General features: G+C 37.5%; 1 protein-coding gene across 6 annotated transcripts in view; it reads right to left on the reverse strand.

The window, feature by feature from the left end:
• The window catches only part of NELL2 (neural EGFL like 2), a 413,574-nt gene that overhangs the window by 300,440 nt on the left and 86,678 nt on the right, over window positions 1-26,456 (reverse strand). For all 6 annotated transcript variants that reach the window (XM_011538396.2, NM_006159.2, NM_001145110.2 and 3 more), the window contains one exon: window positions 7,272-7,422. In XM_011538396.2, coding sequence (XP_011536698.1) covers window positions 7,272-7,422 — 151 coding nt within the window. The remainder of the gene's footprint in view (window positions 1-7,271; window positions 7,423-26,456) is intronic.

Below are 26,456 nucleotides of genomic sequence, written 5' to 3' on the forward strand. Positions count from 1 at the left end.
TGCCAGCAAGTTTAATTTTTACTTACTAATGTCAAGAAAGAAAAATGGCTTAATACATGACAAGCACTCACAAACATGAAGACACATTTTTTCAGCCTCATACATAAATACATTTTTACTCACCCAGAATGTATAATTAATATTAAGAGGATAGAAAAATCTCATTTATTTCACCTGAAGTTTATTAATACAGAAGATGATGACAAACTACAGGACAGTTTAATATTTATTTGCAAAGCTATTGCCACAAATTATCTCCATGTATGCTATCTGCAAAGCATTCAAAGTCAGAAGCATAAATAATGCCTGGATATCAGCAAAATTCCTAATAAACCCCTTGGAACAAATTTGTATATCTAAAGTCCAAGATTATTTTAAATAAAGAAGAAATATTATAAACCACAGAACAGAATCTAGGCAACTACACCAAATCACATGAAGGATAACATAAGGATTTTATTTATCCTGAAGAAACTGCAGTTTTGTAAAACATGGAAGAAGGAAACAGTTTCTTTGGAATTTTCAATAAATTTCTTTTATTTTTACTGATAAATATACTTTTGCTTTTCAACAATCCTTTATATTTTTCATATTTCTCTTCTGTTTCCTGTATAAATGGATAAATGAATCAATATGTTAAAAATATTTCTCTATTCTCTATTTACCTTTCGAAACACAATAGTCAGAAAACTATAATAATGAGAGAACTCCTTTAATCAGCCTGAGTGTCTTAACTCTTTCCAACAACTGCCATATATTACTGTCTGGTTTTTTTTAGGTTATGCTGCTGATGGTGAACATACTGAAATGACTGAAGAGCCAAAACTCTTTTTACACTGTGCTCACATGAAGTTTGTGGCTTAATTTTTAATATCAGCCTCTATTTAAGGAACACCATTTGAAACCAGCATCTCAGGTTGGGAGGCCAAATGAAGCTTTGTTCATGGCACACCAGGGCACTGCTGATGGAGTTCCCGGGAGTTTCATAATTATGCCACTTGGTTTGAAGCTATGTTTCAGTGCCAAGGTTTGACTGAAGCCCTCTTCTTAATTCTGCAACAGTGTGATCATCTGCCCTTCCTACTTTCTTCTTGCTTTTAGTTCACTTCAGATACCCTAGAATCCAGAGCATGCCCATTAATCCATATGTCCAAACCAAAAAAATTGTGTGATTAGATATCCAGCATTAACACCGTGGCTGAGATGTTGCCATATAGCTTATTACAGTTGTCATTATTCTCTAAGAACTTGACTTATAGCTGTTTCGAGGCAGTGGCTGCCAGTTAGTGAATTCCTCATGCTAGAGTTAAGGACATTTCAGGATGGATTAGGCACCCTGCATCAATATAGCAATTTGAACATTCTCCAAATCCTACCACTCTAGCTTGATGAAAACTTTGTGATGCCATTTATGATTCCTGATGTACTCATAATAACCTTTCTCTTCATCTTTTACTCATTTCTTCATCTACCAAATATTTATTTAGCATCTGTGTATGACATCATGACAGATGTAATAGAGTTTGCAAGTTTAATGCACAATCCTTGACAGCAGAAAACCTTAACATCTAATCAAAAATTATTGTCAACTATGTAAATATTTTACACAAACACACAAATTCACCTGAGAAAAGGATGAGAAAGCTGCATTCCACAGCATTAATGGGGTTATCGCTAAATGTCAGAATTATAGGCAGTGGTAAATGTTTAATAATTGGCTCTCTGTTCTCTAGAGACCCAATTCTAAGCTATTGGTTCATCTGCCCATTTGTATTGGAAAGAGAGTATTTAAAAAGTATGCAAAAATAAAGGTTCATTGAAAAAGCATATTTTTCAAAGCCCTGTTTTGTAGCATCTGCTGATTTCCATGGAATAATTACTCATACCATGGCCTATTTCAAGCTACTAATGTCAACCAGTTCACAAAATTTCAGCCCCTAAAGCCAGTAGGCAAGCCAGCTCCAGCAAACCACTGACTGGATGAGCTTCATTTTCTTCTTTATACATATTTTTTTGTTTTTGAATGCCTTAATGATAATAGTGGCTGCCGTCAGGGATAGAAACTGGGTCGCAGGGGACAGGAATGGAGTGCCTTTTACATTTTGAACCTTGGGATGTATTACCAATTTTTTAAGAAAGCTACAATTTAGATTTTTAAAAGTTAAATTATGTATTTGTTACAACTGTAATCAGAAGCAGTAAATGATATTTTAATGTCTCATGAAATTAACAAACATGTATACACATAAAATATTTAAATAACAATGAAATACATGCGGCCATAAAAAAGAATGAGTTCATGTCCTTTGCAGGGACATGGATGAAGCTGAAAGCCATTATTCTCAGCAAACTAACACAGCAAAAGAAAACCAAACACCGCATGTTCTCACTCATGAGTGAAAGCTGAACAATGAGAACACATGAACACAGGGAGGGAAACATCACACACTGGGCCTCGCAAGGGGTCAGGGGGAAGGGGAGGGAGAGCATTAGGACAAATACCTAGTGCTTGCAGGGCTTAAAACCTAGATGACAGGTTAACAGGTGCAGCAAACCACCATGGCACATGTATACCTATGTAACAAACCTACACGTTCTGCACATGTATCCCAGAACTAAAAGTAAAAAAAAAAAAAAAAAAAAAATTAAAGACATTATATGTTAGAATGCCAAAAAACTGGCACAAATTTTTTAAATACATTGGAAACTGATGTAGGAAGAAATTAATGTAAACTGGAAAGGTCAGTGAAAGCTTCCTGGAGATATAAGCGCAGTTCTGAAGTACGTGCCGGATTTGAACAAGCAGAGAAAAAGAAAAAGGGTGACACATAGATGCCGAGCAGATAGGTCACTGTGCCTGGCTAGTATTTATACTCCTATCGCTTTACTCCATTACCACGAGTGCTGAAGCTACCATTCCCACAGTCTCCATCAGTTCCTACCTTCTCCCTCTTTAATTAGGCTTCAGAGCAGGCTTCCCAATAAGCTAGGTGTTCACTGCAAATAGCCCATATGGAGATAACACTGGAGTCAGGAACAGACATAAGGAAGAGAGAGCCAGTCTCACATCACCTCTAATAATAATATTAATGTTCATTTCATGTTTATTCTATAGCAGAGACTTTGTAGTCTAACTCACAGAGTCTAAATTCACAGAGGGATAGCTCAAGCTCTTGCTCTTGCTCAAGATCTTGCTCTTGTGCTTTCTCCCAGGCAGGCAAGAACATGTGCTCAGAAGAAGCGTCACAATGCCACTGCCACCCCATCTTCCCCCCAAAAAAACCCAGAAAAATAAGCATCCTTCAGCAGGGCATGCAGAAGAGTTCTTACTATGGTGAACTAGAATGCACCCATTGAAGCGCTGGACCTACACCTAATCACTGTCAGTTGGAAGTGACTGAGTTACATTGAGAAAAGCAATTTACATGCAATGTGGTGTGAAGGACACAGTCTACTTACCAGGCCTTCATATAGAAGGCTCCACTGGCACATTGAGCAGGAAAACTTGGTTGTATATGACTGTCTTGCATATTACCAAGAAAGTGTCTCCAAAGGGGGCAGTGTTGCTTCAAAGACCTTCATACCTAGATGTATGTTATCAACATCACTGTGGATCTGCTTTTTCTGAAGTGACCAGCTACCATAAAGTCCCCTGAACTTGTTCTCTAAGGACACTTACTACCTTGACCACAAAAGGCCATATGAGAAATATGTGTATGGTTTCAGTGCCAAGAATGGTTGAATTATCCTAATTATTTAACAAGGTTTTTATCCTTTTGTTTGCTCTGATTTGTATATGTTTCATTTTATCTTGTCCTGTAGATATTTCTATAAGCCACCTTAAAATTTTTGTGAAAGAAAGCAGAAAATAATGAAATAAGTGTTTAGGCAATGATGAAACTAAATAGATGAGTGAGGAAAAGCAAGATAACTAAAGAAAGATAGCTTCAGCAAGAAGAACAGGAAAAAATCCAATACAAGCCATAACAGAAGGTCTGTTGAGATGATAGAAGGCAATATCACAGGGCATTAGTAAAAAGACTCAATAATAAAAAGTGGGTTTGGGTTCTGGCTCTGTCAGTAACTAGCTAAATGATGCTGAAAAAAAGGCAATAAAGAACCTAGTTTAATGATCTCCCATAGACACGGAGAGACCAGATAGCACAGAGGTTCAGCAGGTGGGCTCTATAATCACACTGATGGAAAAGCCTACTCCCATTTATTCCCATGGAACCTTTAAGAACTTATCTCTAAGGCTTGTTTTTCTTATCTTTGAAATGAAAATAAGAGTGCTGATCTTGTATGATTATGAGAGGTTTGTGAATTTTTATAGCTAGTATTTTCAAGCACTCTATATGGATTTACAGAGGGGGACAATTGAAGTACAGAACAATTAAGTAATTTGTACAAGGCCCCAAAAGCAATGAGTGGCAGAGCTATGACTGGAATATATGCTGTCCATCTCCAGGTCTACACTCTTAATCACTCTTGAATACTGATGATAAATGAACTAATCACATGTAATGCATGGAGCACAGTGCCTGGCACATGGTAAGCCTTTAATAACTGTTAGCTTACTCAGCAAATGAAAGTGCCTTACAAATCTAAATTATTTTCCACATCATAGAATGATATACTATATCTCAAATATGATATTTGTTCAATAATAACCTATCTAGATAATATCTACATAATTTATAATTTCCTAGATAAATTCATAGACATTGACAGAGATACAACCATAGACTGAATAAGTAAAACAAGAAATTTCAGAAATAATATAAATTTTAAAGGTATAACTAGAAAACCTAACAGCTGAGCACAAATACTTATGTATAAGAAATATTCATCATATTATTATTTATTAAAATTTACAAAGTAAATGAGTTGAATACCCAAAAGTAAGGGGTTGATTAAACAAAATATGGCGTATCAATACACATAGACAAAAGGACTGGATTAAAATACGACAGAACTTCAACATTAGTCTTTTAGTAACATGATTGTATCAATTTTCCTATTTCTTTCTGTCAGTTTTCCAAATTTTTTCTACAACGAAAACATACTTCTATAATCTAAAACAATAAATATTATTTTCAATTGAAATAAATACATTTAAAGCCCTGCCTATAACTTTAATAAATCTACCTCACAGGAAGAGTAAGAAAGGATTTGCCTGACAGCAAACCACCTGATGAAGGTCAGGTATTTCAGTTGCCCATATCTTTAAAATGTTTCAGTTGCTTAAAAAAACATTAAACTATTTTAAGAAGTATTAGGTGGAAAAAGTTTGCAGATTGCAAGAAGTCTGTGCTGGTCAGAGTGTGTACAGTTAAGGTGTTCGACCCTGGGAACCAATACAAACACTGACCATCTAGGACTCACAGTTGAGGGAAACAGACCCATTGAAATGCTGCCTGACAAGCCTCAGGAGGAGCAGATGGAGGGCCCTAGCACCAGTTAGCACAGAGACAGGAGCAGTAAGAAAGGAGGTAGCAGTGGCCATCATCTATGTAAGGGATGTCATCTGGAAGAAGGCTGGGTGAGTTCTATGTCTCTACAAACAGGGAAGTGGGAGAAAGTCACAGGGAAGCAAAATCTAATGTGCAAAATTAAGGCGAAATTTTCCTAGCATGTAGAGGTAATCAGAAATACAACAGGTTGTTCTGCAAATGAACAATCTTGCTTTATTACATGTGACTCTTGTTGCCTGAAAGCTCAATGGACATGGGCAGAGACACACTGCTATAAACAAGGAGCTCACTGGATCTCAACCACATGAAGACAAGGCCTCTCCCTGCAACCAAAAACAGACTGAAGGGAATAGCCCAGTGAACCCTTGAAGATGGGATTGCTCCCTTTCTTGCTCTTCCCAGTTACCAGGTGAGTGTTAGGATGGCACCCTCCCCTCAAAAACAGGCCAGAATCTGGGAGGAAAGAAACCCAAGTGAAGGGCCTGGGAAATTATCCTTTGGAGCTAAAGATGTAATTAAATGGGGCCTCAAGCCCCAAGAGCAAGCGAGATAGTATGTCCCTAGGAACCTTCCTCACTAAGTCAGCCTTGCTATATTTTGTTCTCCACATAGATTTTCTTACGTTTGCTCTTTAGTATTTAGTAAAGATGTGCAAAGTCCCAGACTGCCTCATCTGCGATAAGAGAAACCAAATAAAGAGATTTATACCCATGCTTGGACAGGATCATTAAAGTTTTTATATAGGTAAAGCATTTTATATGTATAAATTCTTTAATCCTCACAACAACTTATGAAGCAGTACTATTATCCTCAATTTACAGATGAGGAAATTGAGATACAGATCTTAGGTGACTTCCCCAATGTCCACAGATAGTAAGTGGTGGACCTTCCCAGAACTGTGGTTATTCTTTCCAGAAGGAATAATCTTAAACTATTTGGTATTACTTCATAGCAATTTATGTATATGTCAAGTATCATGAATGACTTTCTTCTTCTTCCTCCTTTCCCCCCATCCAGAGCTCCTAATCCTGTCTCACATATGACAAAGGCTGGAAGATAGTAGACACCATTTTTATACAATCCATGTCCAAGAAGACAGCTGTCACTGCTGCCAACTATGAGGTAAAAAAGGAAGTTGTCTGTCAATGATTACAATTATACGACTATTAAACTCTAAACCCAGACAATTTTACAAAGCATTAGAATATAATATTTTTGTGGATAACTATTCACAAATTAAGAAGTATGTTTGGCTTTAAAATTGAGAAATATACCTCTTGAGGAATTCAGTAATGAATAAATCTGTTTTAGGAATAGCAACTTCTTACTAACCTGAAAAGCAGCAGCTCCTTCTGCTTTTAGGCAATTACTTTCAATTACCTGTGTTTGTGATTTTTGTATAATGTAACAAAACCATTCTATCTTAAACCAATCTTTGTGTTGTTGTTGAGACGGAGTCTCGCTCTGTTACCCAGGCTGGAGTGTAATGGCATGATCTTGGCTCACTGCAACCTCCAACTCCTGGGTTCAATCAATTTTCTTGCCTCAGCCACTCGAGTAGCTGGGACTACAGGCGCGCGCCACCAAGCCCAGCTAATTTTTGTATTTTTAGAAGAGACAGGGTTTCACCATATTGGTCAGGCTGGTCTTGAACTCCTGACCTCGTGATTTGCCCACCTCGGCTTCCCAAATCATAAAGAGATATACAAGAGAAGAAAGCTTTTGTTTACTTCTCTTTAATATATTCATTTAACCACATATAATGAAAACACAGGAAACTCCAGCAACCACATTTACCTGTGATCCAAGTGGTGAATTGAGAGAATAACTCCTGAATTTAAGTGGGTCTGTTTTAGGGTCACCAAAATAGTAAATTCATGTTTATTTCTCAGCTTCTGAAAAAACTGTTCAGCTGTAGCAGTGGATGCTTTTATGCTTCTGGGAGTATCTAAAAAAGAAACAAACATATACTAAGAATAGTAGAATTTGATTTTATGAAGTATCTTTTACATGTAACATCTTTCAAAAAACTTTATCAAGTTTATCAGTAGCAGCTGATAAATACTGAGTTTCAGACTCTTGGTAAATTATTTTTCAAAAAGACTTTATGCTATATATAATAACACAGGACAATAAAATCACACATGAATTACTGAACTTAGGTTTCAGGAATCTTTTTTCAAAAATGTCACCTTTGAAGCAAAAAATCAAAAAACCTTACTTGGGGACGTATACTCCCAAGTTTTCTCTACACAATTCCTATATTCTAGATAACACAGCAACATCAGTGTCAACAATGAACAAAAAGATGTGCTTCCTAGAATAGGACCTAAACAACCACACTAGAACTATTTAGCTTTTCTGACACCTCATGACAGAAAACTGGATTTAAATCTATGTGCCACCCTCCACATTGGTTTCTTCAGCCAGAAGGTTTGCTATAAATAGATTTTTAAAAGATCATTTAAATTAGTCACTCTCAGCCTTCTGTGCAGTGGAAGAGGCATTAAGATCAAATTATCTCACCATAGATATTGAAAAAAAGAATACGTAGAACTTAATTCCCATTTCCTCCCCAGTCTTAGAGAAAGCCTAGCCAAGGGAAGTTTACTTAAGAGAGGCAAACTTTTATCCTGAACTTCCGCATGTTTTAGCCTTGTACTCCAACCTCAGGACCCAGATTATATGGGGAAACAGATAAGGATAGAAATGCACTTAGGTTTAAAAACCTATCATTCAAGCAATGTGCTAACTGAGCATAGGCTCTCCTATTCACAGTGTACGCAAAGAAGATTGACGAGAGATAGACATGTAGTTTGTATTGTGATCAAATTACTCTCCTCTTTCCTATGCTTGTCTAGATAAGTAGTTTTCAATGGAAGAACTGGCATTTAGAGAGGACAATCCTTCTTTGTGCAGGATTGTCTCATGCACTGTAAAACATTTAGCACTCCTGGGTCCCTGGCCAACAAATGTCAGTGGCACCCAATGCACAGGCTTTGCAACAACCCAAAGTACTCCCACACACTTCCAAACATTCCCAGGGAAGCAATGCAGCAGAAACTTAGTTGGGAATCACAACCTTGATGAAACAGAAATTATAAAATTAATCCAAATTCTCCACCTTTCTAGGCCCACGATTTTACATAATGCTAATGTAATCACCTGGTCTGAGTCCATTACTGAGAATACACAGACATGGAGAGCACACAGACCTTGAGACACTCGTATAATAGAAGAAGGGACACCTAATGTGATACAATGAAAGAAATGCTCTCAGAGAGGTAGGTACAAAGTGTTAATGGGTCAGGGGGGAAAGTAGCCAACAGAATCTGAAGGGAAGGCTCAATAAGTAGATGCAATTTGATCAGGAGTTTACCAGGTAGAGAAAAGAGGGAAAAGCATACCAGACATAGGAAAAGCTTGTGAAAAAGCAGAGATACGAAAGGGCATCACATAGTGCAGTGAGTGAACAGCAGACATTGCTGGATGGGGCTGGGGAACTGGATGAGGCAGGACCCTGCAGGCCAACTTAATGAGACACCTGCTGTTTCCATCACCATTATCAATTTACTCTCTTGGTTTAAAACAAAATAAAACAAACAAACAAACAAAAAACTCCCTATTTGCCACTGAGAAATGATCCCTCCCCACTCTCAACCCTTGACTTCCTCTCTGCTACAATTGGTCATGTGACACAGACCTGACCAATCCGGGCATCACCTATCCCTGTGCACAGTAATCAGATCAGGAACAGGCACCTAACCCAAGTTAACGAAGTCAGACTTGGGACAGTTGTTCAAAGTTTTACAAAAAAGAAACTCTCCTGTTGCCGAAAAGAAACTTCAACATTCCCATTCAACATTCATAACTCAAAAGCATAAGAGTAATCTGAAACTTTTGCCACAATCAATGCAATAGTTTCTCTCCAGGCTCTATTACAGATAAGACAGGCTGTGGAGGAGATTCCACAACATTCCTCTTAGCTCCAAAATTTTTTGTTTCCTCAAGGAAGCATGCAAAATCTAATTGAGAATGATTTCATCTAGTGTTAACTTTTAATTCATTCTAATTTATACAGAAGTGAATCATTCACAAACTACATTACTTCATTTTAATTTAATAGATAAAAGCAAACTGAAATTAAATTATAAATATTATGCTTCTCCTCTTTTCAGGCAGGTAGAACTTCAGCAGCATCCTTTGTCTTGCAGAGCAGGATGATAGATGGGGGTGCAAATGAGAGAAATGGAGAAAGGATTACAGTGAATACACAAATGATGCTCAGATCCGCAGAGAGGTTCAAGGATGTGGCCCAAAGAGATAGAGCTCTTACAGCAAGAGAAAAGGAATTTGGAAATGTGTGGCAGCTGCCTTACAAGATGAAACTTTAGAGATAAGATGCTCAAAGAAGATTCTTAGGCTGTTTTGTTGTTTGGTATACACAGAAGAACTTTATTAAATGTCTATATTATTCACTATTGCTTTTGGAGTTAGATTTGTGAACAGAGCTGAGAGGCTATATTTTGTTCACTTATTTTTTTTTTTTTATTTTTTTTTTTTTTGAGACGGAGTCTCGCTCTGTCGCCCAGGCCGGACTGCGGACTGCAGTGGCGCAATCTCGGCTCACTGCAAGCTCCGCTTCCCGGGTTCACGCCATTCTCCTGCCTCAGCCTCCCGAGTAGCTGGGACTACAGGCGCCCGCCACCGCGCCCAGCTAATTTTTTGTATTTTTAGTAGAGACGGGGTTTCACCTTGTTAGCCAGGATGGTCTCGATCTCCTGACCTCATGATCCACCCGCCTCGGCCTCCCAAAGTGCTGGGATTACAGGCGTGAGCCACCGCGCCCGGCCAGTTCACTTATTTTTTAATTTTGTTCTGTTTTCAGATGAAATGACAAGTAAAGATTGGCCTTAAGGTAAAAGAATGAAGAAACTAAAAGAACAGATCAGATTTGAATATTAGTAAAAATGTACATCACTATGGTTGAAAACATGGTGAAGGAAACTGTAGGTGAAGGGAAACTATCAAAAAAATTGATCAATCAGCGTTTTGAAAAAAATTTCTCTAGTGGCCATGTGGAATGGTTGCTTCAAGAAAGAAAAAAACTGGAAACAGACCGCTTGAGAAGTCTGGCAATTTGGTAATTATTAACTTATACAGGTTAGATTTCACATATTTTAAACATCCATCATATTTTGACATCCCTAAACTACCTTTCCCAAATCAAATTGACTTTCTTTGGCTTTGACTAGACTAGTAATAGTGATACTGCGCTATTAGTGTTTGCACTACTTGTCAGGCATGTTGATGAGGGAAGGTCCAAGGGAACTCTGAGTAGACGGATAATTTGTATTGGGGTGCTTAACGAAGTGCTTAAGGAGACCCACACAGCAGAACCATCCTCCACCCCACCAGGGTGGTAGATGGGGTGCTATGAGGACTCCATCCAGCTTAAACTTGAAGCTCATTCACTCATGCAGGGTCACAATTCAGGACAGGACCACTTACCCTATTCAACCTCTCCTCCCAGCCCATTGTCTTCCTGTTTTGCTACCTCTATGGGGATGGGATGGCTTGCAGGAAGGAGGGACCCTCCAGCATGAACAAAGCCAGCGGAAGCCCCATTCTGCTTATGCTACAGGGATAAGAACAATAATATTCTTTTTTTCTTTCATCCTGACTAAGTTCATTGCACAAATGTTTAAAAATGGGCTTGCATGAGCCTCCCACCTATAACGGAGAAAGAGACAGTGTGGAATGCCCATGGGAGAGAGAAAACCCAGCTTGATTTACCATAGCCTCAGGATGGTCTCCTCACCTGGTGCCCCAGCCCAGAAGCCCAGGACACAGATGAAGATTTTTAAGTTTCCTGAATGTGACACAGAGAGTACATAGAGGAAGTTTAAGTCATGATTGTATCACAGTTTTCGGTTCTCTGTCCACAGAACACCGTTTGCTTCCAACCCTTACCTCACCCTAAAATATTTAAACGTATTGTTCCCCCTTAAAAACATGTTTTCAAGAATTCATTATGTCCAAGTCCAGGAAGGACTTGATGAGGGCCTAAACTATGTAAGTGGCATCAGAATAAACAGGAGGGGTAGGATTCAGGATATACGTAAAAAGTAGAATCTAGGCCGGGCGCAGTGGCTCACGCCTGTAATCCCAGCACTTTGGGAGTCCGAAGCGGACAGATCACGAGGTCAGGAGATTGAGACCATCCTGGCTAACATGGTGAAACCCCGTCTCTACTAAAAGTACAAAAAAATTAGCCAGGCGTGGTGATGGGCGCCTGTAGCCCCAGCTACTCGGGAGGCTGAGGCAGGAGAATGGCGTGAACCCAGGAGGCGGAGCTTGCAGTGAGCCGAGATCGCGCCACTGCACTCCAGCCTGGGTGACAGAGCAAGACTCCGTCTCAAAAAAAAAAAAAAGAAAAAGAAAGTAGAACCTAAAGAACTTGGTCACTAATAAATCACAAGCAAAAGGTAAAAGAAAGGAGGCAAAAGGAATCCAGTTGACTCCAATGTTTCCAGCTGCAGAGACTTAATGAAAGGAAATGCAGTGGAAGCCTGATGGTACCCAAATGGGATTTCAGTTTTAGAAATAGTGATTTTAAAATGCCATATAACATACATGTGGACATGTCCAGTAGAATGCTAGCACTCCAGAATTTGATATGAGAGAGGTTAAAGTTGACAATATAGGTTTAGAAGTCACCAGACTGTGTTACCTAAAGTCATAGGCGTGCCTGAGTAAATCACAGGAGTCACAGGAATGAGAGGAGGATGGAGGGATGGACCACAGAAACACTAAGTCAGTAGCACAGCAGGGGCAGCATATATAAGCTTTATAAATACACACACACACACACACACACACGTATATATATTCTATAATGCTGCACATATGATACTATACAAATTTTATCCTGCAAAATTTTATAATAATATATTTTTCCCTTTTGAACTCATGTTCCATTTTGTTCTCACAAAGCCCTGGAGACTTGATAGCAGCAACAATTACTACTTCCTTTTTTAAAATAAGCAAAAACAGCCATGGAACATTTCCATGTTCACCCCAAAACACCAGCAGATAGAGGTATAATGGGGATGACAATTTCTGGGCCAGTATTCTTTCCACTAAATTGTACTGCTCCTGAACATGGCATCCTTTATCCATGCCTAATTGCCAGTCACAAACAAATGCAAATAAGAGAGCAACCAACACAGAAAATAATTCAGAAACAAGTAATTATATAAGATAACATTTTTAGTTCTTTAAGTAAGTAGGTGAGTAGTGATTTTAAGAAAGGTCATTTTACTCATTTGCATTTCTGTTTCCAAATTTGTAAAATTGGCATTCCTGCCTTATATTTTCATCTCAAGGATTACATAATGTTCAGAGACTCTGAGTTCCAATGATTATTATGATAAGACCTAATTCTGACATTGACCATTAAATCAAGTCAAAGAAACTACCACCCAATAATTAATTTTACTTTATTTCTATTATCATTAAAGTTTTCAGAATTAATTTTTTTTTTTTAGACAGAGTCTTGCTCTGTTGCCCAGGCTGGAGTGCAGTGATGCAATCTCGGCTCACTGCAACCTTCGCCTCCCAGGTTCAACTGATTCTCGTGCCTCAATCTCCCAAGTAGCTGGAACTACAAGTGTGCACCACCACGCCCGGCTGGTTTTATTTATTTATTTATTTATTTATTTATTTATTTATTTATTTATTTTGGTATTTTTTTAGTAGAGACAGTGGTTTCACCATGTTGGCCAGGCTGGTCTTGAACTTCTGGCTGCAAGTGATCTGCCCGCCTCGGCCTCCCAAATTTCTGGGATTACAGGCATGAGCCACCGCATCTGGCAAAAATTTTAATTTAGATATGCATTAAGCAATCTTTCAACAAGGAATCCTGCTAGGAATCCAATATAGAAAAATAAAGTGCAGTGGTTACAGGAACAAACTTTGAAGCCAGAAGCATGAGGTTCCAATTCCAACCATGCAGATTATTAGCTGTTCATAGCATGTAGTAAAGACCATGGGTTTATTATGAGGATTATAATGTTATTATTATTACTCTTACAAGCAATGAGGCTGTGGAATCCATGAAAACCAACAATGGCCATAACACCCTTGTGATTTTCTGAGCTTACTTTCATTCTAAGTATCCCAAACTCAGCCACAAAATATCAGTTTCCAAGTTTGAAAATTGATATACAAGTTTTGGCCATCAAATTCTTCTTAACATACAATCCTGCCTACCCTAGAAAACTACGAAAGATCATTCTTTTATGGACAAAAATCAATGTAAAGTGAGATTCTTTCTGAAGCAGGGACAAAGATCATTTGATTTGGTGCTCAGAGAAAGAGGCTGAGAAACAGGCCTTGAAATGCTACTAGTAAGCTCTATAGAGAAACTTATCGACATGCCTATGCTGCATGGGAGCTTTTTAATTGGAGAACTGCTTGAGTTTAAATGTAAAATGTATTTCAATGTTTTCCACTTTTATTGTGCATACAGCCTAAAAATCCCACTAAGAAAACAACCCACAGCAGTTTAAAGCAATTATTAATAAATAATGAAGTAGCTCAGAAGCAATTACATCAAAATATTCATTTTTAGTCATGGGACTACCAGAATGGAGTGATGAGTTCATATGTGGCTACAGTAAAAATTTCTAGGGATTTAGACAATGTGCTAGGTATTCCCTATATACATACATAGTTAACAAAGAAAGGCAGGGGGAGGAGGAGACAGAGAGAGAGAGAGAGAAAGAATCTGACTTACTTATTTCTAAAATAGACTGTACTTAATACAATTATGTATATGGTAGCAAACATGGGTGTTTACTGAAAAACAGAGTCAAGTTGGAATTCCTTTCTTCTTTTTTTGGTGGCCAAATTTCTCTTCTTAATGGGATATAATTGACAAATTAAAATTGTATATATTTAATGTGTACAATGTGATGTTTTGACATCTATATCTATGGTGAAATGATTACTACCATCAAGCTTTCTAACATATCCATCACCTCACATAGTTGGCATTTTTTTAATGTATGGTGAGAACATTTGAATTTCAAGTATACAATACAGTGTTAATAACTATAGTCACCACACACTGTACATTAGATTTCCAGAACTTATCATCTGCATAAATGAAACTTTGTACTCTTTCACTAATATCTCCCATTTTCCCCATCTCCTAGCCCTCAGCAATCACCATTTTACTCTCTGCTTCTATGAATTCAATGTTTTTAAATTCCACGTACAATGAGATCATGCGGTATTCATCTGTCTGTGCCTGCCTTATTTCACTGAGCAGTTTGTCCTCCAGTTTATCCATGTTGCTGCAAAAGATATGATTTATTTCTTTTTGTAAGGCTGAATGATATTCCTTTGTGTGTATATACCAATATTTCTTTATTCATTCATCCACTGGTGGACATTTAAATTATTTCCATAGCTTGGGTAGTGTCAATAATGCTGCTATGAACATGGGAGTACAAATATTCTTCAAGATACTGATCTCATTTCCTTTAGATATATACCCAGAAGTGAAATTCCTGGATCACATAGTAGTTCTATTTTTTATTTGATGAGAAACTTTATACTATTTTTCATAATGGCTGTACCAATTTACGTTCAAACCAACAGTGCACAAGGGTTCCCTTTTCTCCTCGTCCTTGCCAATACTTGTTATCATAGGTCTTTTTGATAATAGTCATTTTAACAGGTGTGAGGTGATATCTCAATTTTTTAAATTTGCATTTCCCTGATGATTAGTGATGTTGAGCATTTTTTCACATACATTTTGACTATCTGTATGACTTCTTTTGAGAAATGTTATTTAGGTTCTTTGCCCATTTTTTAATCAGGTTATTTGTTTTCTTGCTATTGAGTTGCACGAATTTCTTATATATTTTGGATATATTAGACAATGTGCTAGGTGGACATTGGACAATGGACCCCTTGGCAGATGTACTGTTTACAAATGTTTCTTCCATTCTGTACATTGTTTCTCCACTCTATTGATTGTTTCCATTTTAGTGCAGAAACTTTTTAGTTTGGTGCAATCTCATTTGCCTCTTTGCCTTTGTTGCCTGTGTTTTTGGGGTCATATACCAAAAATGTATGGCCTAGACCAATGTCAAGAAGTTTTCCCCTGTTTTCTTCTAGTAGTCTTACAGTTAAGTCTTTAATCCATTTGGAGTTGATGTCTGTATATGGTGTGAGATAAGGGTCTAATTTCATTCTTATGCATGTGGATATCCAGTTTTCCCAACACTATTTATTGAAGAGACTGTCCTTTCCCCCTCGTATGCTGTTGGCACTTTTGTTGAAAATCAATCGACTAGAAATGTATAGATTTATTTCTGGGCTATAACTATTCTGTTTCATTGGTCTACATGTCTGTTTTTATGCCAGTACCATGCTGTTTTCTACAGTTTTGTAGTGTTATTTATTTATTTATTTATTTATTTATTTATTTATTTATTTTTATTTTATTTACTTTTTTTTTTTTTTTGAGACAGAGTCTCACTCTGTCGCCCAGGCAGGAGTGCAACGGCATGATCTCGGCTAATCGCAAGCTCCGCCTCCCGGGTTCACGCCATTCTCCTGCCTCAGCCTCCCAAGTAGCTGGGACTACAGGCACCCGCCACAACGCCTGGCTGATTTTTTATACTTTTAGTAGAGGCGGGGTTTCACCATGTTAGCCAGGATGGTCTCAATCTCCTGACCTCGTGATCCACCCATCTCGGCCTCCCAAAATGCTGGGATTACAGGCGTGAGCCACCGTGCCCGGCCTGTAGTGTAATATACTAAAGTCAGGTAGTGTGATGCCTCCGGCTTTGTTATTTTTTGCTCAAGACTGCTTTGGCTATTTGGGGTCTTTTGTAATTTGATACAAATTTTAGGATTGTTTCTTCTATTTCTGTGGGAATATGTCATTGAAATTTTAATAGGAATTGCATTGAATCTGTACATAACTATGGGTAGTATGGATATTTAATAACATTAATTCTTCCAATCCATGAACACAGGATATCTTTCCATTTATTTGTGTCTTCTTCAATTTCTTTCATCAGTGTTTCATAGTTTTCATTGTAGAGGTCTTTCACCTCCTTGATTTAATTTACACCTACGTATTTTTATAGCTATTATAAATCATATTGTTTTATTCATTTCCTTTTTTTTTTTTTTTTTTTTTTTGAGACAGAGTCTTGCTCTGTCACCAGGCTGGAGTGCAGTGGTGCAATCTCATCTCACTGCAACCTCTGCTTCCCAGGTTCAAGAGATTCTCCTGCCTCAGCCTCCCCAATAGCTGGAGCTACAGGTGCGTGCCACCATGCCCAGCTAATTTTTGTATTTTTAGTAGAGACGAGTTTTCACCATGTTAGCAAAGATGGTCTCGATCTCTTGACCTCAGGTGATCCGACTGCCTCGGCCTCCCAAAGTGCTGGGATTACAGGCATGAGCCACCGCACCCAGCCTATTCATTTCTTTTTGAGATAGTTCATTGTTAGTGTAAGTAAACCCTTTAAATATTTTCTGTGTGTTAGGCCGGGCCCGGTGACTCATGCCTGTAATCCCAGCACTTTGGGAGGCCGAGGCGAGTGGATCACCTGAGGTCAGGATTTCGAGACCAGCCTCAACATGGAGAAACCCCGTCTTTACCAAAAATACAAAATTAGCCCAGCGTGGTGGTGCCTGCCTGTAATCCCAGCTACTCTGGAGGCTGAAGCAGGAGAATTGCTTGAACCTGGGAGGCGGAGGTTGCAGTGAGCCGAGATCGCGCCATTGCACTCCAGTCTGGGCAACAAGAGTGAAACTCCGTCAAAAAAAAATAAAAGAAAGAAAAAGAAAAGAAAATTTGTGTGTTAGTAGTAAAAGAGAAGGAATTTGTCCATCTTCCAATAACAAAAGAAATAGGTAAGCATCATTGTTTTCTTTTGAAATTAAAAAGTATCACTACAACTGCCATCATGAATTAAATGAGTTTCTGCCCACTGCAGTGTGTAGAAACCCCCATATAACCAGACTAATAAAAATACAATGTATAAATTCTATTATAAAAACTGTCTAATTTCAGACATAGAATGGTTGACTTAAAATATTTCAAAACTCATGAGATTATCATTTTTTTTCAGTACTTAACTATCAAATGTTATTGTCTTCTAAATTCAGGTTAGAAATATATTGAGTTAAAACTATTATGATAGTTACTCTCCATTGCTCTTACTCTTCCTTCAATATGCTCATGCTTTTATAATGCAAACTTATAAGACAAAATGGTAACAATTTTAAAAGCCATTAAAATTTGATTAACACTACTATATACAAAGTTTCCGAAGTCTTTAAAGGTGAACAATCTCATTTAAGCCTCATGACAATTTTGAATAAATAGGATTGTTAGCTCTATAATAATAGAAATTGCTGATGAGAAAAATGGAACCACAGAGAAGCCAAGACACTTGGGTCATCATCAAAAGTGGCTCAAAATCACAGGTCGTTTCTATGAACTTACAAAAGCAATTACAGCAGTATATAGGGATGAACCCACCAAATTCAAGTGGCAGAGCCAGGATCCTAACCCAGGCCAATGTGCTTCCTATTTTACACAACAGTGTCCTACCAACACTACAGTGATGCACACTCCAGGGGCGGATAAACCCTTATTTTAAATTAACCTTTATAAAAGTATATTCTGAAGATAAATAAATAAATTGCACTTGATCTTAGAATCATTAGGTGTTTCAAATATAGAAAATTATTTATATCATACAATCTCCTGTCATCTAGATACTGCAACATAAACTATAGAGAGTAAACTGCACTAAATTGCAAAACAGAAGGCTTTTTTAAAAGACAATTTTAAAATAATTCTGCTTTAAAAATTACTGAGTGAAACGTATGAGTTCCCCACAAACCCACAATTTTGTAACTTTTTTTAAAAAAATTATGTGGATCCAAGGTAGGTATATATATTTATGAGTTACATGAGATATTTTGATATAGGCATGCGATGATATTGAGGTAATCACATCAGGGTAAATGGGGTATCCATCACCTCAAGCACTTATCCTTTGTGTTATAAACAACCCCATTATACTCTTTTAGTTATTTTTAAATGTACAATTAAATTATTTTTTACTATAGTCACTCTGTTGTGCTAGCAAATTCTAGGTCTTCTGGTCTTCTTCTAACTGTTTTTTTTTTTTTTTTTGTACCCATTAAGCATCCCCAATTCCTTATCACTGGCCCCCACCCAACAATCCTTCCCAGCCTCTGGTAAGCATCCTTCTACTCTCTATCTCCATGAGTTCAATTATTTTAATTTTTAGCTCCCACAAATAAGTGAGAAGATGCAAAGTTTGTCTTTCTGTGCCTGACTTCTTTCACTTAACATAAACACCTCCAGTTCCACCCATGTTGCAAATAGCTGGATCTCATTCTTATGACTGAATGGTACTCATCGTGTGTAAGTACCATATTTTCATTATCTATCTGTTGGTGGACATTTTGGTTGCTTTCAAATCTTGGCTATTGTGACTAGTGCTGCAATAAATATGGGAGTGCAGCTATCTCTTTGATATACTGACTTCCTTTCTTTTGGGTATATACCTGGGAGTGGGATTGCTAGATGTTATAGTAGCTCTATTTTAGTTTTCTGAGGAACCTCCAAACCATTCTCCATAGTGGATGTACTAATTTGCATTCCCACTAACAGTATATGCGGGTTCCCTTTTCTCTACATTCTTTCTAGCATTTGTTATTGCCTGTCTTTTGGATAAAAGCCATTTTGACTGGGGTGAGATGGTATCTCATTGTAGTTTTGATTTGCAGTTCTCTGATGATCAATGATGTTGAGCACTTTTTCATATAGCTGTTTGCCATTTGTATGACTTCTTCTGAGAAATGTCTATTCAGATCTTTTGTCCATTTTTTTAAACCAAGTTATTAGATTGTTTTTCCTATAGAGTTGTTTGAGCTCCTTACGTATTCTGGTTATTATTCCCCTGTCAGATGGGTAGTTTGCAAATGTTTTCTCTCATTCTGCACCCAAACCCACATTTAATGATGCCACTTCCTCTCCCTTAACACATTTATATGCCCTTTACATTACTGGTTTAGGAGAGAACAAAAACATACTCTTAGAAAACCAACTTGGAAATTCCCCTTCTACCTTCTTACTCCAATTAAACCCCCAAACACCTTCAAAAATTTCTTTCGAATCTACAGCTAATTACAATTTGATTCAATGCATAATAAACATATACATTTCTTCATGTATCATTAACAAAATGTGTGTTGGCTTAATGTTGTGAATATTCAACCACATAAAAGTATACATACATTAATATAATCAGAAATCAGAAGTATAAGCATTAATCAACTAATCAAACAAAAAGAAATAGCAGGTTCTATTCCCAGAACCAACAACTGTAATGGTTGACCTTAAGCAAATCATTTGAAGTGCATGTTGGAATTTTCATTAATAAAAGTCAGGATATGGGGGTGGGGGCTACAAATAATATAATGTCTCTATGATTTGGAACTTAAAATTAAAGTATTAAGATTTATCTATAACAAATACAAGTTCTGAAGACTATTCTATTTCATTTGTTTTCATTCCATGCTAGCAAGCAAAATTCTGATAATAATTTGGCTTCTAGAGTGTATTTTCCTCCAGAGACAGTAGTAATGATCAACCACAATAAGTATTCTGATTTAGTTCACTGCTATAATTCTCATTTTAGATTAAAATTAAAATTGGCACTTGAGTTTATAATCAGATTAATACTTTTGGCTAGTGTGAAGCAGTCCCTCAGAACCTCATCAGCCAAGTTACCAGCTGTTTTGATGCCAGCAAAACTGAGTAGGTAAACCAGTCCAAATAGCCTTTCTCTTTATCATCTCTTCCTCTAACTGCAGTACTGCTCAAGAATAAGATCACATATTCAAAAAAGATCAAATAAGGCAGAAACATTAAGCAAATAAGAAGAATGATGATAAGTGATGTTGATGAAGATGAAGATGATGATGATGATGTCATTCACAACTTTAATAGCCTGACTGCCTTCCACTGTTGATCCCGACTCAATACCTATAAATAGCAGTCTCAACAAAATCCTTTTAACACATGTAGCAAATTTAAGAATCAGTAATTTGCTAGACTTTTATTTAAACCAATCCAAAATGTTATATCAAATTGAACCCAAACTGAATGCCTGCAATTTTTCAGCTAATATCATTAACCCATGTCTTAAATTCCCAAGAATCATTAAATTCATGAACATGAACCATCATAATTTATAGAATATGTATCTGCCTTGATGAAAGCTACTGAAACTTGAACAAATGAAATGTTTGAATTTCTTTAAAGAAAAGAAAAAACCTTGAGCTTTCACTGGTCTTATCTTTAAGAGTACATGAAAAGTTTCAACTGCACCTTCGTATACTGACACCAGTCATTACTGTATGAAGTAGTGCTTAAATTAACAAAGTATTCTCCTTAGCATTAAAGTTTATATATTTAATAATTAGGTAATTTTTCTCATTTTAAAATTACCCCATAGATAGTACCTGGTTATTTCTTAAACACACATATACTTAGCGTTTGCAAAGTGTTCATCTATTAAGATAGTAACCATTAAGTGCAAAAGAGAAATGTTTATAAGTTAAAGTTTCTAAAATGAAAGCTGAATCACAAGGCTTTCTTTTATTTTCTTTGAGATCTGATCAAATATTCATATAGTCCCTAATAGGAAAAAAATGTTCTTTCAAAAAACTGGTTATTATTCTAACCACGTATGTGTTACTGTTTTGACATGGCTCTAGTAAAATGATTAGCATAAAAAGAAGAAAACAAGATGAAGGTAAGATTTCTATTATATATCCTTAACATTTTATTCATACATATTAATTAGAAGGATTAAAAAATAATGACATATAAAATATTTTTACATCTATAAAATCTGAAAGTTATGAATAGTGCAACCTCAGACTCCACAAGCAGATTCTAACAGAATTGTTGCTGAATAGCCAAAGAGATAGTACATGGTGTCCCATCAATTATGCAGAGCTGAAGTACTGAAATGCACAATTTCATCTTCTACCTAATAGGCTAATTTGACCTGAAACATCAATTTGGGGAGTTTGTTCTGTTTTTATCCTTCTTTAATTATAATAATCAAATTATTTCAGAATAACAAGACACCAAAATATCAGTTATCATGATTAATCACCCTATCAAAATTGAGCTACATTTTTTTCTATGAGTATTTTCACTGCAAGAAAGAAAACAGCATTATAAAGTACCACAGGGCATGGGGCACATTGTAATCAACTTTTCAAACCAGAGTTTCAGACACCAGCCTTCATGTCAGTCCCTGTCCTTGTTTCCACAGGCCCCAAATCTGCCATCTCCCGGTTTCTGAGCCTGTTATGATCATGATGCCAGAAAATCACAAGTCTTGCTGCTCAGAGATTTTACAAAAAAAGAGCTCTGGGAATGTGTGCAGCCTCTAAAATAAATCATTTCCCAGCCCCATCATGTTGGCCCAGTCTACAAAGTTGAGCTTCTGCTTCAGTTTCCCAGCCTGGAACTCTACACTCTGCCCTGCACACCCATCTGCTTGGTTGAGGCTTTGATATTCTGTCAGGATCTTGCCAAATCTCATTCTCTCCCTCTCTCTCTGTTGTCCCTCAGGAATTCATGAATTTTGCTTTAAAAGTGTCAGAATTCTAGATCTATCACATGCTGCCTGCATGACTTTAATCTGTGGGGGGACTGGACTTGCCCCATTTACCACATTGGACACCACACCCAACTCCTGCTTATACTCACAACCCACCACCAGCCCCATCTTACCACCCTCTTGAAGTTTTTCCCACCATTGTGAGTTTTCTTTAAATTAAACTCACTATTTAAATACCAATATTACCCCTGTATAAAATACAGAAGATTCACTTACTGTCTAAACTAATCTCTGTACTTTACCTTACTGGGAGCTCTATAATCTCTAGCGCTAATTTAACCATTCCCAGGAGCCACACATCTGACCCCACCATGCTTGTGTCTTTCCCATTTCACGAACAGATTACTCCCTAAGTGACCATTCCTAGACTAAGTATTGCTTCCAGTTTTCTGCTCACTTTAATGAGTTCAACAAATATATACTGAGTATATAGTAAATATTCAGTATATATTACATAATGATCATGTTGAGAATTCTGCAATGAAGATCAGGAATAATCCAGTACCATGAACTGTTTACCTCTCTGTGGCAGATTGCTAACTGTCCTCCAATAGCAATAACTCTCTTCCTCTTCTAAGTCATAAAACTCTCTACTTTTATCAGGGCACACATGGTTTCCCAGATAGAAACTTCATTCCCCTATATCCTTTTCAGCTAAAGTGAACAGGTGATGTAAATCCTCGCCACTGGGATGTGAGCAGAAGTGACAGGCGTTATGATCCATATTTTATTATTAAAAAGGAACTGATTGTCCCCACTCTTCTTTTCTTTCAGACTGGAATGTCCTCCATGAGGAAAATGGCAGTGTGGAGTTAGAAGACAGACAAAAACTGTGTCCGTGAGTAATTTCAGGTGGCAGGACTGTGCATCAGCCCGGAACCACCTGCCTGCCTCTAGATTGTTATATAAAAAAGAAATAATCTTCTTTCTTATTTGAGCACTGCATTTTGGGTCTCTTTGTTACAGGAACTTAGCCTATTCCCTAAGTAATCCATCTCCCCAAGCTTCCTATGACTCGTTCAAATGTTCCCCGTGGGTCTCATTCTGTAAAATGAGGATAAGAATTTTTTTCTGTATAAAAACAGAGAGTAAAAATTTTAGTCTTTTCAGGCCACATACACCTCTATTCCATATTGCTTTTTTTCTTTTCTACAAGCATTTAAAAATGTAAAAACCAGTCTTAGCTCAAGGGGCCATATAAGAATGAGCCCCAAAATTGGCCTTTGGGGCCACAGTTTTAACCAACCCCTGGAATCAACAGATATGGATATAATTTCCCAAAGATAAAAAGAAATTCTTTATGTCTTTAGTTGATTATGTCTAGAATGGAAGACCAAAACAATGTGATAAGAGGCTTAGTTAAAGCAAGTACTAGATGTCATGAAAGTGGAAAAGACAGGAAGTGAAAATGCCTATTAACTAGTTTTCATCACTGGTGTTGATATGCATATTTTGGTGTGCATCCTTTCTTCTCTCATTGTGTGATATGCTTTCCAGGTGTAGGGATCAATTCTGTAATTCTCCTTTTTAGCACAGTGATCTGCATGCAGAAAACAATCAATAAGTATAGCTGACCGTCTTGTTCATTCATGACTTTGCCACCTACTTCCACGCCTTTTCATAACAAAGAGCATATTGTCTGCCCAAGTAACTAAGTAAAAGTTACAGATTCGTTTTGTCCTCAACATTTCTTGGCATTGCCACCTATTTTAATATTATGATTTAAAGGTAGAGTAGATAACAACCACAATGAACAAAACTAGAACACATACAAAAACATTTAAAATAGTGCTTTATATTGTTACATATTAAGACCAAAAGACTCTCCTTTCCCTTTGGAAATTATGAACTGGCAGGTCTGCATGAGGACTGTAGCTCTATGAAAAGAACTTAGTCCTTTCTAGCATTCTAAGATTAACATCTCCCTAGAAAAAGGAATAACGGAGGACCTAAATTTCTGACAGGTACAATGGTAATAGTGTGGTTTGAGTATTTTCTTAGCAATGTTATAAATTTCTAGATTATCAGAGAAAATAATTACTAACTGAATGCCCAGAAACACCTTCCAGAGCTAAATGTAAGCTTCACACTTACTTTTTCCCAATTCCACCACCAGTTTTGGGGGTAGTTGTGAGTTGGCCTACACAGAACGTTCAGAACACTTAACAAATAAATGTTTTGCTTTTTGTTTTCTTTTGTTGTATAACATTCCTTTTTTAAAATTCAAGCAAAACCTGGGTGTTCTACAAAGTGGTCTATAGAAAATTTCTTCACTATATTTTATGCTTTAAAACAGAGGAGAACTGGGCATCAAAATCATACAGGAATTATACTGCAATAAAAATTTGACATCTCATATCCCATCTTCTTGACAGTTCTCTCCCTTTCATGATAGTCCACAGCTCTGATAGCTTTACTACACATTTTCATTATTTTTCAGTGTACTACTTTGTGCTGCCTTATAGTTTTCTCTGTTTCTTGCCTAATTGCTTTATATGCCAGTCTTACATCCTCAGAAAGACTGATTTTAATCTCCTTAAGGACAAAACTGTGTACTATACCTCTCTTCTACCCCAATAACTACCAGCAATTATAGCCCAAGACAGAGAGAAGGGTTCAATAAAAATTTGTTGAATGAAATTCAATGAATTTTCTTTTCCAAGGCTTGGAAGACAAAACAATGTGCCTATCTTGCTGTGTAAGAATAAGTTACTCCCCTTCCCTCCTAATTCTCCACTGAAGCAAGGTTTACAACCTTGGACTCGCGGTACAGCTCTAGGTAATACCTGATAATCTCACACACAGACACAATTTATGCTGTACAAAGGTTTATGGGAGGTCCTGGGAGGCACAGTCCATACTAATTACCAGGTCGGTCCAACTATCTCATTAGTCCAGGCTAGGAAAGTTGTTAGGATTTAAAATCCTATTGAAACGAAAGTATCGGAGTGGAGTTTAAAACAAGCTGCTTTCTTCCATCCCAGCATTTCCAATCTGAATGCTAGTCTAAGTTACGTATTTCTTCCCCTTTGGTTTATATTTCACTTCCATAAAATTTTCTTTCTGGCATTTGGATGATAATATGGGCATTTCCACCTCAATACCACACTTAGATAGATGTATTTCTGAATTACATACAGATATGTAAAAGATACAATAATTTCCATTTCTAATTTAGGAAATTAGGCCCAAACATCAATAATATATTTCCTATTTAAACACTAACATCCAATGACTCATTCACATACTCCCTCATTTTCATTCCTTCTCTCTCATATCTGTACAATCTCATTCACTAAACACATACTCTAATTTTGTTTTTCTCACAATTTCTTATTTGTAGCATTTATGTCACTCTTTTCTCTTGTTTCATAAAATATAAATATAGTAAAGATATAAATACAATTATAAAAATGTGTATATATACATTTCTAGTTATATTTGCATGTATACCTACACAGACACACGCATTCTTTTTTTTTTTTTTTTTGTCTCTTTAAAAGGTTTATTGATCATGTACAAAATAAAGAAAACCTTATATATCACAAACATACGCTATGTACAGCAACAAATACCCAGGGGGCCAGGCCCAGTGCTGCCCCTCCTGGACAACAATTTAGCAATAAATACTGCGCAGGGCAGGGGTGGGGCACTAAGGCCACTGCCCTGCAAGAGGTCAGGCCCCTGCCTGCCCTACTCGAAGTGTGAGCGCTCGGGCCTCACCCCGCATCCAAACCCCAGCCCCTCCTCACTTAGACCTTTAATAACCTCCATCCCACCCCAGCAGATCCCGGGGTCTTCTCCCACACACACAACCTCCCCTGGCTAGACCCAGTCAGGGCAGGCAGGGACTGATCAACTCTGCTTGGACCCACCTCTCAGCGCCAGGAGAGCAACAGGGCTGGACACGCGGGCAGTCCTTGTCGTGTTGCCAGGAGAAGGCTTTCTGTGCCCACTCCCGTTTGGTTAAAGGCTTCAGGGACTAGCAGATTGAGGGGGTGGGAAGAAGGGCAGGGCTGGGACACAAGGTTGCTGGAGGGGCCAAAGCCCAATTGGGGTCACCAAGAACAGGGAGGTCTCACAGTTTATCGGGGACACACTCTAGCTCAGACTCAAGGGACACCCATGGTATCAAAGCTGCTGCTCCAGGGGCAGGGTGGAAATGGGTGGGACTGGCCCGGCAGGTACCGTACACACCCAGGACACA

This window comes from Homo sapiens, chromosome 12 (genome assembly GCF_000001405.40).
Source record: "Homo sapiens chromosome 12, GRCh38.p14 Primary Assembly".
Taxonomy (NCBI): Eukaryota; Metazoa; Chordata; class Mammalia; order Primates; family Hominidae; genus Homo; species Homo sapiens.